Raw genomic sequence first — 15,187 nt, forward strand, 5'->3', positions numbered from 1 at the left:
GGAAGAGAGGTTAATGTTCTTAATCTCAAGCTCTTGCATATCAATAAAAAGGCAACTAAATGAACAGAAAAAATGAACAAAGAACATAATTATGTAGTTCCCTTATAAAATGTTTTATAATGGTAAATATTTATAATGTCTTTATTGTGTCTTAGGAACTATAAAAGTGATTTACAAATATTAACCTGTTTAATCCTCACAAAAGCAAGTTGTAGATAATACCACTATCATCCCATTTTATGCAGGAAGAAAGTGAGGTGCACAGAAGTTACTTGGATATGGTCACACTGCTATTAAAGGCTGGAGTTGAGATTAGACAGTCTGGCTCCAAACCCTGAACATTCAACCACTATTCCACATTGCTCTAAAAACAATATAAACAAGAAAAAATGATCTACCCTGCTAAAAAAAATGGAAATTTAACAAGAATTGGTGACACATTTCAGCTCAATCTAACAGAGTTGTAAAGACCGATAAACAGGTGGTCCGTATACTGTGGCAGGAAATGTAAATTGGAGGGCAATTTGGCAACATCTATCAGATGTACTATCATATGTGTGCAAAGAGACATACACAAGGAAGTTTAAGACAGAATTGGATAAGTAAAAAATCTGAAAATTACCTAAATCCAAAGGAAAGTTTCCTGGTTACACATATGCTACTATATCCACATAATGAAATAATGACCGCTGTTAAGAAATACAAAAGCAGGTATGCAGATACATACTGATATGAAAAGTTATCTTTAGTATGATTTCAACTAAAACAAAAATCAAATTACTGACAACAATATATTTTTAAAGTTTATGTTAATTATATATATTAATATGTATCCTTTATATATGTTTAAATCTCTGGAAGGATATGCATTAAAATATTAGCAGTGATTATATCAATAGAATTGAATTGGGGTGCTGAAAGATAGATAGATTTGGGGACATTTTAGTTTTTAAAATGTACATTTCTCTGCTAAATTTATTTTAATGAGTATATATCACTTTAATATTATAAATAATTAGATAATGATGTGATATAAACCTCTTATCATTTTTTTGTAAACATTAAAGTAACACACTACCCAAAATAAACACAGCGGCATCCCCATGTGCAAGGGAGACCCAGATCCAAGCTACCCATCCCCAGCAGGGCTCTTCCATTCAGAAATATGGAGTCTCGTATCTGTTTGTCTGTTTTGGCCCCACTTAGATTCATTAGAGAATTTCTCCTGGCAAACAAACTCTGATGATATCAGTCTTACAAAGAGATCCTCAGGGCTTTTCTTCATGTTACTTAGTGTGGCAATTCCACAAAACAACAGCATAGCATAAGTTTCTGAAATTGCCGTTAGCTTCCCGAGAGTGGGAGCTCAGGTGGCATTTTCTTTCCTTGTCTCCTGGTTCTATGTGTTAATGTAATATTATGTTTCCCTGGAGGACTATTATAGGCCTACCATCTCTTTCTTGGGAACTTAAATGGATTGACCACATGTCATCAGATCTCAACCCATACCATGTTTTGCCATCATTATCAGTAGTATTTAGTGCCCACAAAGAGGACACAAATGATGAAGCATTTAATATCCAAGCAAAAAGGCTTTTTCTTCTCTACCCTTTTACCAAGCCAAACTTTATCATTTCTATACTACAAGCAGTTTTCTCCAACAAAAGAAAGTCAGCAGGCTAGAACATGGACCACATAAAAAGAAAGGTTTACACAGCTAAAATATACAGAAGAATAATTTGTTTTTCTTCGTCTTTATTTTCTGGAAGATACACATTCATAAGAAGTGTTGGTAACAACATATATAGCAAATACTAAAAGGATGGCAATGCAACACAATTTGTAGACATGGCAAGAGATGAAGAGGAGGCATCATAATTTAAGGAGGGTGGAAGATTTTAGGGAAACAATTCACTATCTTGAAAACTGGTACATAAAAAAAAAATCAAGGCTTTATCTTGCCATTCCTATATTAACTTTACTATAGGATAACCAAATAATGGATACAAAGACATTATTGAATAAGCATATCCCCATTTTTCAACTTCCAGTAGCTCAGGTTCTTCAAAGGATACATTGTTAAAAGAGAAAAATTAACAATGCTTTTAAAATAGGCAACACTAAATTACAGTGTCCCAGATGTCCTCTTGATTGTCAAAACTATAAGAAATGCAAAGGTGATTAGTGTGTGAGTCAAATAGTAGTTACTTTTGAGGGATCAAAAGGGATATGATTGGGATGGGGTATATGGAAGAGATTTTAAGATGAGACTGACAATATTCTATATTTTGGCCTGTGTGGTGGGTACGAAGGCATGTAACTTATACATCTGTGGTGAGTTTTTCAGCATCTATGTTTCATCTTATAATAAAAAGGAAGAAAATACCTGTCTATGTCTTTGTCCCACTCCCAGAGTCTGACTTTACTGATGGAACAGAGATAGAGCATTGGAAGGTTTGTTAAATCTCCACAGGTGATTTTTAACATGTAAATATATTTTTTCTCTGCTGCTACAATGGGTTGAAAACATGAGATCTTTGAACTTGTGAAGCTTATAGTATATACCAAACCAAAAAGGGTATTTTGTGCCACATTAAGGCATTCAGATCTATTTCAGAGGTATATCATGGAAAAGACTTACATGGTTGTATTTTTTTTTAAATAAAAACAACCATTCTCTAGTCACTGATTATTTCTGTATCAACAACGTAATATCTAGCATTTCCCAAAGTCATCTCCAGTATTTGCAGATCCATGAAGCTAAAGACAAGTCTAATTTTTCTTTTTCTATACTTTCAAATTTTCTTATGCTTAAAATATCTAAATGTTACATATTATATAAATTATGTTAAATATTACCTTATATAATACTAAATATAAGTTTTCATTTATAACTTTATATTCTCTATTAAAGACCCTTGCTAAATAAACCTCCTCCCACAATGACCAAGCTCTTATATTTCTTCAGTTTTTAGATTGCTTTTCTTGTATATGTTTGTTCTAACCTGAAAAGCTTTTCCTTCTTCACCTTGTTTGAAATGTAAAATCTTCAATACTCTATTACTGCAGGTCTACCACATTATATATTTTGTAAATGATCTAGGCCCCTTGATTCTCTTTTTTTTTTCTCACTGTTCATGTTCTTATTTATTGGCCTTTCTTTTGTTTATTTAGACTTCCTTCAGAGGATAGTTTAGAAAATGAAAATTAATTGCCATCCAAATCCAGTTCTTTCATGCTTGTTACAATTTCTAATAAAAAGTCTGCTAGAACACAGAGTAGATAAAAATGTCTGCATTTCTGGCCATAAATAAACAGGCTCTCTCTGTTTAAACTAATGGTAATGCTACATCATTGTGGGAGCCTAGATTTTTGGTTTTCTTAATGCATGTAACAGTTTTGCACTGTTATAATCATATTTTCAAAGAAGTGGTCGCCAGTAAAGATGCGATAAAACCCAGGCAATTAATTTGGTACCCTGGTCTAAACCAACATATTCTCTGCAATTATACAGAATTGAGTTAGTTTACCTATCAATACTAATAAAACAACAATTAAGGACTATAAGGGTAAATATTTTAATAATATATTTATTACCCTTTTGATTATAAGCCTATGATCCAAAATATTCTACTCTAGCATTAAACGACTTGTTTCATTTTGCCATTTTTCTATAACCATCATCAACGATAACAAAATCAAGAACTCCAGTAGATGCAATTTATTTTAGGAGGGCACAATCCAAAGCTAAAAACAACCCTCATGTGTCCTCACCACAGAGGCTAGCCACACACCTGCTGATACTGCAGCAAACTCTAAGCTTGTAAGTGAAAGTCTATTTTAACTCTTCACCACTCTTAAATTATATTGTATTGCTGCTCCTAAAGCAGGATAAGAAACAGAAGAGAAAGAAATGTTGTAAATGTCTTGATATTTATCTATGTGTCTCAAAAAAACTTTAGTCATGAATCTTATTTTCTTTAAAATCTGATATTAAAGTTTAGAATCATTACACCATGAACATATTTTCTAGCTAACTACTAAATATCTTAGGTGAAATACATTTTTATTCTTGACTACCAGTGAGTGCATCATAGTTAAAGTCAATAGCCAGGAAGTACTAAAAAGACCATTATATTTCAATCCCAATAGAATCTGTAATATTACATAAGTCCATCTTTGATTGGCTAAAGTTCCTAATTAATGATATTCTTTGTATCACAAGAGCGCTTTAGTTCATATCAAAACACCCGGAAGAATTTGATCAAAATAACTACTTTGTCCAGCATAACCAAATGCATGGTTTTGGGTGAAGAAATTTTCAGCTGTTGAAGGTTATTTTTTCCAAATATTCTTTTTCACATTAAAATCTTAGCTATAACACATAATTTTTTCTTCGTAAATGGAATATATCAAGTATAATTTAACTTTATGAATTTAAATAGTATCTCTACTATAGATATGTGATTACTTTAGAAGATATAGATTTATAAATCTGTTTGTTTCTGTAAATTGTTGTCTGTCTTTAGTACTTTTGTCCCTATAACCTTGAATTTGCCATTTGCTTGTTTCTCTGCAATCAAAATAACAGAGATATTTACCAAAAATATACATTTCTACTCTTGACCTTTTGAATAAGAATCTATGGATAAAGATGGCAATATACTTCAATTATATCTTAAATATATTTCATTATACTTCTAGTTTTATTCAACCAAAGACAATTTATAATAAAACAATGCTTGCAAATAGGAATTTTCTATATACTGCTATGAATTTTAACCCTTAAAAAGAGAAGCAAAAAGCACCTAAGAACTGCATATAAAGGGTGGATTGTGGGAAAGTAATGACACCTGCAACTGATAAAGAAAAGCATTCCACCCTCAGGAGTGGCCAAGAGAAACTTTACCAAAGAAAAGTGAAAAGAGAACACCCAGGCATAAAAGATTTGAGACCAAAAATGTTGACAGTTCTTTGAGAGGGAAAATGGGGAGTCCCAATAAGAAAGGATCACCTCCATAGAGGCATGTTTTTAGTAGAGAAAAACACAAATGTGTCCAGGAGCAGTAGCACATATGAGCTATAGCACATACAGGCTCATGTCTGTAATCCCAGTGCTTTGGGAGCCCAAGGCAGAGGGATTGCTTGAGGATAGAAGTTTAAGACTAGCCTGGGCAACATAGAGACCTCGTCTCCATAAAAAATACAATACACAAAAATTAGCCAGGTGTGATGCTGTGTGCATGTGGTCCTAGCTACTCAGGAGGCTAAGGCGGGAGGATCCCTTTAGCCCAGGAGTTCCAGGTCACTGAGCCATGATTATGCCACTGCTGTTGGGTCTGGGCAACAGAGTGAGATCCTGTCTCAATAAAAAAATTAACAAAAAAACAAGTATGTAAACGTTTCAGAGAATTTGATTACTAGGGTTTTACACGTTTTTGTTTACATGATAATATGCCAGTGGCAGGACGTTGGGAGTGGCCACTGCCATCACACCAGATGTAAGGGGAAGCTCTGCCTGGTGGTGACAGGAGAACCTGTGGGAGCAGCAGTGGCAAAAGTGGGATCCCTGTGACCCCCATCCCCTGTGCCCCCGTGTTCCTGAGGCAGCCGTCTGCACCACCCCTACCCTCGTTCAGCAGGCAGGACCGCAACCAGGCCTGGCACCTCCGTGTCTCTAGATCCTGGCCCTGTGTCACTGCTCTCACCCACTGCCGCTGCAGGAGGGCATGAGGACAAGGTGGACAGTCCCCAGAGCCTGCCCCTGGGAGCCCCCCAGAGCCCTCCACGATGGGGCAGTTAAGAGTCATCTGCAACTGTGGGGACAGACAGTGTGGATGGGCATGGAGGAGCGGACAGAGAGCAGCCCCGAGGTAAAGCTGGGCCCCGGGTGGTGCCGCACTTGCATATGGAGCATGGGGGCCAACCTGGGGTGCAGAGTTGTGGCCACACTTTGGGGACCCAGGGAGGCAGGTGGGCGTGGAGCCTGCTTCTGAGACCTGGCCAGTGGCATGGCCACTGCATCCATCTGGCTTGAGGAGCTACCAGATGTGGGCTCCCTAAAGCACTACATGTCTTCTCTCCTTCTCTTCACCCACAATGTGGCAAGCAAGGGGCATGTTTCATCAATGGTTGTATTACAGCTTTTTCAGCCTCGCCATTCAGTGAGTCCTGAGTTCTTGTCCTGAAAGCAGGAAGAATGAGGTACGCAGACACGTGGAGGGTCAGCAAGACAAAGAGGAGCTTTACTGAGCAATAGAACACCTCAGAGAAGACCTGCAGTGAGCAGCTCCTCTCCACAGCCAGGTGTCCTGATGAGTGTTGAGCACCTAGCAGAGAGGGTAGCCAATCTCTGTAGCTGGCTGTCCAATAGTCTGCAGCTTTCAGCAGAGAGGAGTGCACAGAATGGGTGACTCCTCTCTACAGGCAGGTCATCCTGTCATCTCTGCAGCTCTCAGCAGAGAGGGTAGCTCCTCGCCACAGCTGGTCAACCCATCATCTCTGTCTTCTGCTCTGTTCTGGCTGAGACCAGGGTTTTTATGGGCCTCAGAGGGGAGGAAGTGCATGCTGATTGGTTCATGGGTGGCCATAAGTGGGCCTGGAAAAGGCACCACAAGTCCCCACTGAAGGTGTGCCCTGAAGGTGGGGCCTCACCAGGGACCTACCCCCGTCTGCCCAGGAGCTTGTCTGCCTCCTGCTGCCTTCCATGGTGCCCAGGCTGCTCACACCAAGGGGCATCTGCAGGCCAGTGCTGAGCTGCCCTCAGCACTCCCTCCAGCTTCCCCTCCATGCTTGTCAGTGCCCAAAATCTGGAGGCGGCTGAGTGGCAGGGGGCTCAAGTGTTAGTGCTGCCCCGAGTGTGTGCACACCCAGCTTGGTTGTGACAGTGTCTGGGCTTGGCTCCAACCTTGCTCCAAGATAAGAGAGGGCACTGGGAGTGGGCAGAGGCCAGGCAGCAGGAGCAAACACCCCCAAACCTGCAGGGGCAGCAGGGGGCTTTGCAGGTCCCCAAGGGTGCAGACTACAGAGATGCCCGAATACTGCACCTGGGAAGATGGGGGTCCCGCCCACCTGTCTTGTGACTCTGACCATGGGGTGCCTCCAGGAGCAGATCACAGGCCCTGGCCCAGCCATAGGGAATGTCAGGCTCAGCAGTCATCTCGATGGAAGGCAGACCCTGGGGACATGGCCCCAGGTGACCCTGTACAGGGTCTCCTCCCGAGATGCAGGAACCCGGTGCCCTCAGTGGGGTGGGCCTGGTGACCACACTGCTGGCCAAGTCCCCAAAGCGAGCACTCTCCCACTTCCTGTGCCAGGTCCCCAAAGCACAGCCCCAGCTCAGCACCCCAGGCCCAGCACCCACTTTCTGTGTGCAAGTGTGGCAGTGCCCTGGGCTCAGCTCTGTCTTGGGGCCCTTCTCTGCCCAAGTGCACTGCTCCCCCACAGGTGGGCAAGTCGGCCCAGCCTGATTATGGTGGCCCCCAGCGCAGCAGGCTCCAGGGATTATCTGCTTTCTCCCCACACCCTCCTCGCAGCAGCAGCATGTGAGAGTAGTGGCATGGGCCTGGGGTCCAGAGCGATGGACACTCCAGGCCTGGGGCAGGTCCCACCTGGCTATATGAGGGTGAGGGCAGTGCAGTTGGCTCCCTCAGGGATGTGAAGAACAGGGGATGTGGGGCACAGGGGTCCCGCTGCCCTCCTCACTGCTCCTCCTGCAGCCATTCCTGCCCCCACACTCACGACTCCCTGCTGCAGCAGGCACGGTGGCGTTTTCCTCTGAGCTGTTCTATTGCTCAATAAAGCTCCTCTTCATCTTGCTGAACCTCCACTTGTCTGTGTACCTCATTCTTCCTGGATCACAGGGCAAGAACTCGGGACCCACCAAATGGCGGGGCTAAAAGAGCTGTAACACAAACAGTGCTGAGACATGCTCCTTGTGGGCAAAGAGAAGGAGAGAAGAGCTGTGTCCCTTCAGGGATCCCAGACCTGGAAGCTCCCCAAGCCAGGGCTGTGACTCCCTCTTTCGGGCCCTGCAGTTCCTGGCATCTTCAAGCTTCTAGGCACCACTGTGTTTCCCGGTGCCAGCTCTGGAAGCTGCTTGTGGTGCACCTGCTCATGTCTGACTGCACAGTGGCTGGACTCCATGCTCACTCACACACACCTTGCCATTCCATGCCTTACTCTCCTTTGGCAGGCCTGGGATCCAGGCTGGTAGCATGAGCTGAGTACAGCCTGCCATGCCAAGTGGGTGGAACGAACCCAGTGGATCTGAGCAAAACTCAGGCAAAGGCGCCACTGGCCACAGGGGTTTTCAGCCAGTAAAGCAATACTCCAAAGATCCTGTAACAGTAATTTGGAATGTTTTTTAGTATCTCTCCAATATATCATAGTTTTGGTTATGTTCAGTGAAATTAAATTTAAAATGAGATTTTTTTTAAACATGCCATATTTTTAGTGGTTGCAAGGTTTTTTACATTATAATAGTCATCTTTATTAGTAGCATCAGATATGTCATTATCCAAATTGCATTCCCTAAATATATAACTCCATATATTAGTGCCTGATTTCATTTTACCCACTTGTTGATCTATTTCTGCAAATCATATGAAACTTAGATTACTGTTATCAGTTTTAATCATGTGTTCAATACCACATCTTTTTTATTTCTATATTGTACACATTTATCTAGTTACTCAGATCTCTCCCAGAGTGTGAGCCGGGAAAATAAGCAAAATGAAAAATTACATTAATAATTAGCCAATTTAGCTAATTAATAACTATGGTAAGAATCAAAAGTCGAAATTTTTTGGACACAATTAAACTTGTGGCTTTATTAATTTTTCATATAAACCTAATTGCCAGAACAAATATGTTAATTTGTTAGAAAGTCCCAATATGTAAACAATTCCTACATATTTTATTAACTGAAATTAAATAATCATCCAGCAAAAAGGCTGTTCATAACTAATGATCTAGAGCAAAGTTATGCAGTACCTAACCCTTATGCGAAGAATTTGGTTGCAATGAAAGTCATACAAACAAAACAATAAACTTTATTTATTTTCTTGCTTTGCAAACATATTTCATATCTCTTTCCACACTATACTATCCATCATTATTAAAATAATTTCCTAAGCATCTGTTAAAAATAATCTACATCACAACATTTCTGTGGGATATTTTAAAATAAAAAAATTGTTTAACTTTTATACAGATGAATGTATGTAAAATATATGCACGAAGTCATTGCAATCCATCAAAATCTACTTGTTAATTATATTTTTATAAGCTCTACTAATATACTCATAGTGTTTACTATAATAGGGTTGTTTAGTTAAAATACATAAAAATCAAAATTAATACAGTTACATTTAAAACATTTTCAAAAATTCAAAGTACTGATTCTCCAAAGGATAATTAAAAGTCTTAAAAGAAAAAAATCCAATATCTGAAGAAAAACCCATCTTCATTTCAGTATATTCATTTTTAAAAGTCTGGCTTTAAAGACGTTCTGTAATCATTAGGGTCCCATTAAATATACAGCAGGTGTTCAGAGATTTGGCTATTTAAGATTTAAAGTGCAATAAGGTACCTGAGCCAAATAAGCCACGGGACTTGACTTACTCCCTGACCATATGAGAGTTTCCCCTATGGCCAAATTTGCCTTCTGGAACAAAATTTACCCTCAACTGAACCTTTTCAACTGTACGAGCTGTAGATAAGACCCTTCTTTCTAAGTTTAGAATCCTAAACAGATTGAGCTGCATCTCTTAAAGCACTCTTGAAACCTCTGATGAGAAGTCATGCCTAACTTCTGACAATTAAAGCAGTTTTTCTGGCTATTGTGTATTGTAAGATGGCCAGCTAATTCCTTTATGTTTATTAAAGATATGTCCTTAGCAATTCCATAGTGTCTTCCCTATGCCAAGATTTAAATAGATCCAGCCCAGTCATATGCAGCACAGCACTGGCAACACACAAAAAGCTCTATTCACCTTCTTCCCTAATCTACATCTTTCTTGCATCCTACTCTGCCCTGATCATATTTCTCAGGGACCAAATGGACACTTGTTGCTATGGCCACTTCGGGTGTAATATCTACTGTTCAGTCAGTGACATCCTGAGAGGTGAAGCCGCTGGGCTTCTGGGTGGGGTGAGTACCTGGGGAACTTTTCCGTCTAGCTAAAGGTTTGTAAATGCACCAATCAGCACTCTGTAAAAACGCACCAATCTGTACTCTGTGTCTAGCTAAAGGTTTGTAAACGCACGAAACAGCACTCTGTAAAAACAGACCAATCAACTCTCTGTAAAATGGACCAATCAGCAGGATGTGGGTGGGGCCAAATAAGGGAATAAAAGCAGGCCACCCCTGCCAGCAGCAGCAACCTGCTCAGGTCTGCTTCCACGCTGTGGTAGCTTTGTTCTTTTGCTCTTTGGAATAAATCTCACTGCTGCTCACTCTTTGGGTCTGCAACACCTTTATGAGCTGTAACACTCACCTGGAAGGTCTGCAGCTTCACTCCTGAAGTCAGCGAGACCACAAACCCACCAGGAGGAACAAACAACTCTGGATGTGCCACCTTTAAGAGCTGTAACACTCGGCCAGGCGCGTTGGCTCATGCCTGTAATCCCAGCACCTTGGGAGGCCAAGGCAGGAGGATCACAAGGTCAGGAGATCGAGACCATCCTTGCTAACATGGTGAAACCCTATCTCTACTAAAAAATTAGCCAGGCGTGGAGGCGGGCGCCTGTAATCCCAGCTACTTGGGAGGCTGAGGCAGGAGCATGGTGTGAACCTGGGAGGCGGAGCTGGCAGTGAGCCGAGATCATGCCACTACACTCCAGCTTGGGTGACAGAGCAAGACTCCGTCTCTAAGAAAAAAAAAAAAAAAAAAAAAAAAAGAGCTGTAACACCACTGCAAAGGTCTGCGGCTTCACTCCTGAAGTCAGTGAGACCATGAACCCACTGGAAGGAAGAAACTCTGGACACATCTGAACATCTAAAGGAACAAACTCCGGACACACCATCTTTAAGAGCTGTAAAACTCACCGTGAGGGTCCGCAGTACAATTCCATGCTATCTCACTAATTAATATGTACGTCCCTTTAGTTCATCAACACGCATCACCAGGTAACGAGTTCTCTTTCTATCTGCTCCAGATCCACTTGCTGCCAATCCAAAGAGGGGAGTTAAATAACTCTTTCTTCTTTGTTAGCATAAAGCTAAATTAAATCTGGTATTAATTCTATAGTAAAAATATTCTATCAAAAAACAACATAGTAATAAAAATTAGTTTTATTTGTTAAGTAAAGCAAATGAAGAATTCAAAATATTATATAAATAGATGTTGTGATCCATCTTTCCCAAATTTGACAAATATTCTCTGAATTCTAAAAAGCTCACCTTTTAACTAAATAGGTGTAAAAGTTAATATAAGCTTTGCAAGGTAGTGTACAGCACAACATATATAAATTTAATAATTAGAGAAACATTTTGTAAAAATGATTTTCATAATCTGTAGACAGTTCTCTATAATTATTTTGTGATTTACAAAATAATTTTTCATATATTTAGAATATTAAAAATGTGGAATAAATGAAACCATGAGACCCTGTTTGGCAGAACTGTAAACAATTTTCTGACTTATCACTGGGTCCTACAACCTCTCACCTCTGTTATTTCTATATCTATTTGAATATTACAACTCCAGAAATGTAATGTTTTGGAAAGAGAAGATCATTTGGCAGTGCGACTCTTCCTGGAATTTATAGCAGACTAATACATTTCTACAACTAAGTAAAGACTCAGGAATATCACTCAGGCATCCTTATGGGTGGCATAGATTGCATCATAGTATTTCAAAGAACTACAGACTCTATTTAATTCTGTCATAGTCGAAAATTCTAAAAGTCGTAGAAGATTTAATTTTAATCTACATGACAAATAATTGAAAGACATTAGAAATGGAGTGAGATACTGTTCTCCAAATTTTGATTTGAACAAATGAATCTGCATTTGCTCAAACGGACAGTTAGGAATGGCAAAAGTGTTTCACAGGCTGTATTCACCTATACACTTACCACATGTAGCTAATATCCATTATTTCAGAATATATAACTAGGAAAAAAGTAACAAGTCTACTAAAATAATTTGAAGCACAAGTGAAAGAAATCATTACTCTGAAAACTCAGAATAAAGGAATACCCAAACTATTTACAGCAAGAAATAAAGAACATTTTAGGAATCATGTGTTTGGGTCAATAGGAATAATTAAGTAATAAATAGAATAGAGAAGATAGTTTCAATAAAAATTAGATCAAAAGGAACAAGTTAAAAATGGTAAAATAAAGACAAAGGATTGTAGTCCCTAAAATAAGAAAAGAATGCAAACATACCATGAAATGAATGCAGAAGATTATTAAAACGTGTGTTGGTATGAGTAAGGAGAAGACACGATGCTGCAGAACATGGAAACACGCATGTTAAAATACCTCAAAAAAGTTAGAATGCATAAAGAGAAGAAAAAAAAAGAAAAAATGCTTGGCATAAAGTATAAAAAACAAGAACCAATCTGTAAATTATAGTCATACCTACGGTTGTCAGAAAAAAATACATTATCTCTCTCTTCCTTTCTTCTTTCCTTCCTTCTTTTCATCCTTTCCTTCTTTTTTATTAATTGATTGCTACACCTGGCAACCCTAGTTGTATTTAAAAGAATCAATGAAGGTGGGGAGGAAGGCCAAATAAAATAAAAACAGCAACGAATGAACTTTGCTGTACTATAAAAGAGCAATATAACTCACTGAAGGGGCACGAGGAAAATAAACATAAATAACATTGGAAAACTGTATTTTGACTATACTCTCTAAGGCTAAACATAAAAAAAGAACTCTCCACAAATATTGTACCCTAGTTGGTAGGTTTTTTACAGAAATATGGGTTAACAATTCTAAGGTCATTTTATGTATATTCTAGGTTTAAGCAAATAACTATAGAGTGTACAATGAGAGCAGGTTCCTTACTATTGTAGAAAAGAGTCATAAATAAGAAAATACAAAGGGCTAGAATGTACCCTGTGGTATTAGACATGTATTGGAAGTATCAGTATAAAGTCAGTTTTATATTTACTTACACATACACATACACACATATATACATATACTATATATAGATGAAGATGTATACACACTAATTTTATGTTGCACTCTCTTTTTTCAGGGAAAAACCCCTCTATTATGAGGAAAATGTGTTAACCAAAATAAATGAGTAAAAGGAAAAAGACATAACATCTAGGATGTAGGAAACCAACACAGCTGTGAGGCTAAGGCAATTGCCAGCATAAGAGTAAGGAGAAGCACAAAGATAAGAATTGTGCATGAGGCTTAGTGATCAACCAGTTCTGATAAGAAAAGAAGGATGTAGGATTCCAGGAATATGTTTAAGAGAAAAAAATTGATCTGTTGGATCATCTGATTTTTTTTTTATATTGAGAGGATTACATCTCTGGCAAAAAGATGTGGGGAAATTATTACTAGATAAAAAGAAACATATTAAAAGTGAAGCTGTTATTAATTCTAATAAAATTTTAAAAGATACACTGGAAAAGACAAGTAATTACAATGTTTGACATCATGTTTCTCGAGAGCATATTCGATACAAAATGATCATAGAATATAAATTTTAAATACAAGAAAAATAGCTTTGAGCTTATAACTTTATGTCTAGCTAAATTATTATTTGAAAATCAGGGCATAATAAAAATATTTCCATGTATTCCTGAGATGATTGATCTCATGAACATCTACCCTGAAGACATGTTGGATGAAGTCCTCAGATAATAAGGGAAACAAATCCAGAGGATGTGGGAAAAGTAACAGTATTCAATAAGAATTTTTTTTTAATTAAGGTCAACTACCATAAAAATAAAGAATACATAAGCTGGCAGAATAAAATTTCATCTATTCAATGGAAAACAGAATAGAGAGAAACAATAACACAGAAAAGTATAGTAATTGAAAACTTTTACAATTACACTCTGAGACAGAATGAAAAATAAAATAATATTGAGGTATATATTGCTGTCAAGTGACACACATATAAAAAGCAATAGTGGGACTGAAGATAAAGGGATTTAAAAAAGAATAGGCTAAAATGACATCAGCCTAGCAATCTTAATATCTGAAAAAAACAAAGTCAAAAATAACATAAAACACAGAAAGATATTATATGCTTGTAAACCGAAAAGTAGGGTAGAAAGATACAACTACCATAGTAGCATAGGTACCTAAAAATTCAGCTTCAAAATACATCAAGCAAAAGTTAGTATGATAGAGAGATGTTAATACCCTTAAATCAGAGTTTGGCAAACTATGGACTGTGGACCAAATCCTGCCTGCCACATATTTTTGTAAATAAATCTCTATTGGGACACATTGTCTATATGTAGTGCTTTAGCACTGCAATGATAGAGTAGAGTAGGTTCCACAGAGGTAATTTGACCCACGTAGCCAAAATGGTTACAAGTTTTCTTTTGAGAGTAGTAAAAATGTTCTAAAATTGATTGTGGTGATGGATGTAAAAGTCTACGAATATACTAAAAACCATTGAGTTGTAAAATTTGAGTGAACTGTACTGTATGTGATTTATATCTCAATAAAACTGTTTTAAAAAAGTTACTATCTGGCTTTTTAAAGAAAAAGTTGCCAATTCCTAATATAAACAATACAAATGCTAAGTTCCAGTTCTTAAATATTCATAGAACTCTATACCCAACAGAGAATGAACCTTCTTTTCTTTTTTTTTTTTTTTTTTTTTCTTTTTTCAAGTCTTGCTCTGTCGCCCAGGCTGCAGTGCAGTGGCGCGATCTCGGCTCACTGCAAGCTCTGCCTCCCGGGTTCACGCCAGTCTCCTGTCTCAGCCTCCCAAGTAGCTGGGACTACAAGCGCCTGCCACCACGCCCGGCTAATTTTTTTGTATTTTTAGTAGACATGGGGTTTCGCCGTGTTAGCCAGGATGGTCTCCATCTCCTGACCTCGTGATCCACCCGCCTCGGCCTCCCAAAGTGCTGGGATTACAGGTGTGAGCCACCGCGCGCAGCCAGAATGCACCTTCTTTTCAAGCACACATAGAATATTTATGAAATAATACATTCTAAGCCCCAAGAAGGAAGCTTCAAAAATAAATAAA

This window comes from Homo sapiens, chromosome 12 (genome assembly GCF_000001405.40).
Source record: "Homo sapiens chromosome 12, GRCh38.p14 Primary Assembly".
Lineage (NCBI taxonomy): Eukaryota > Metazoa > Chordata > Mammalia > Primates > Hominidae > Homo > Homo sapiens.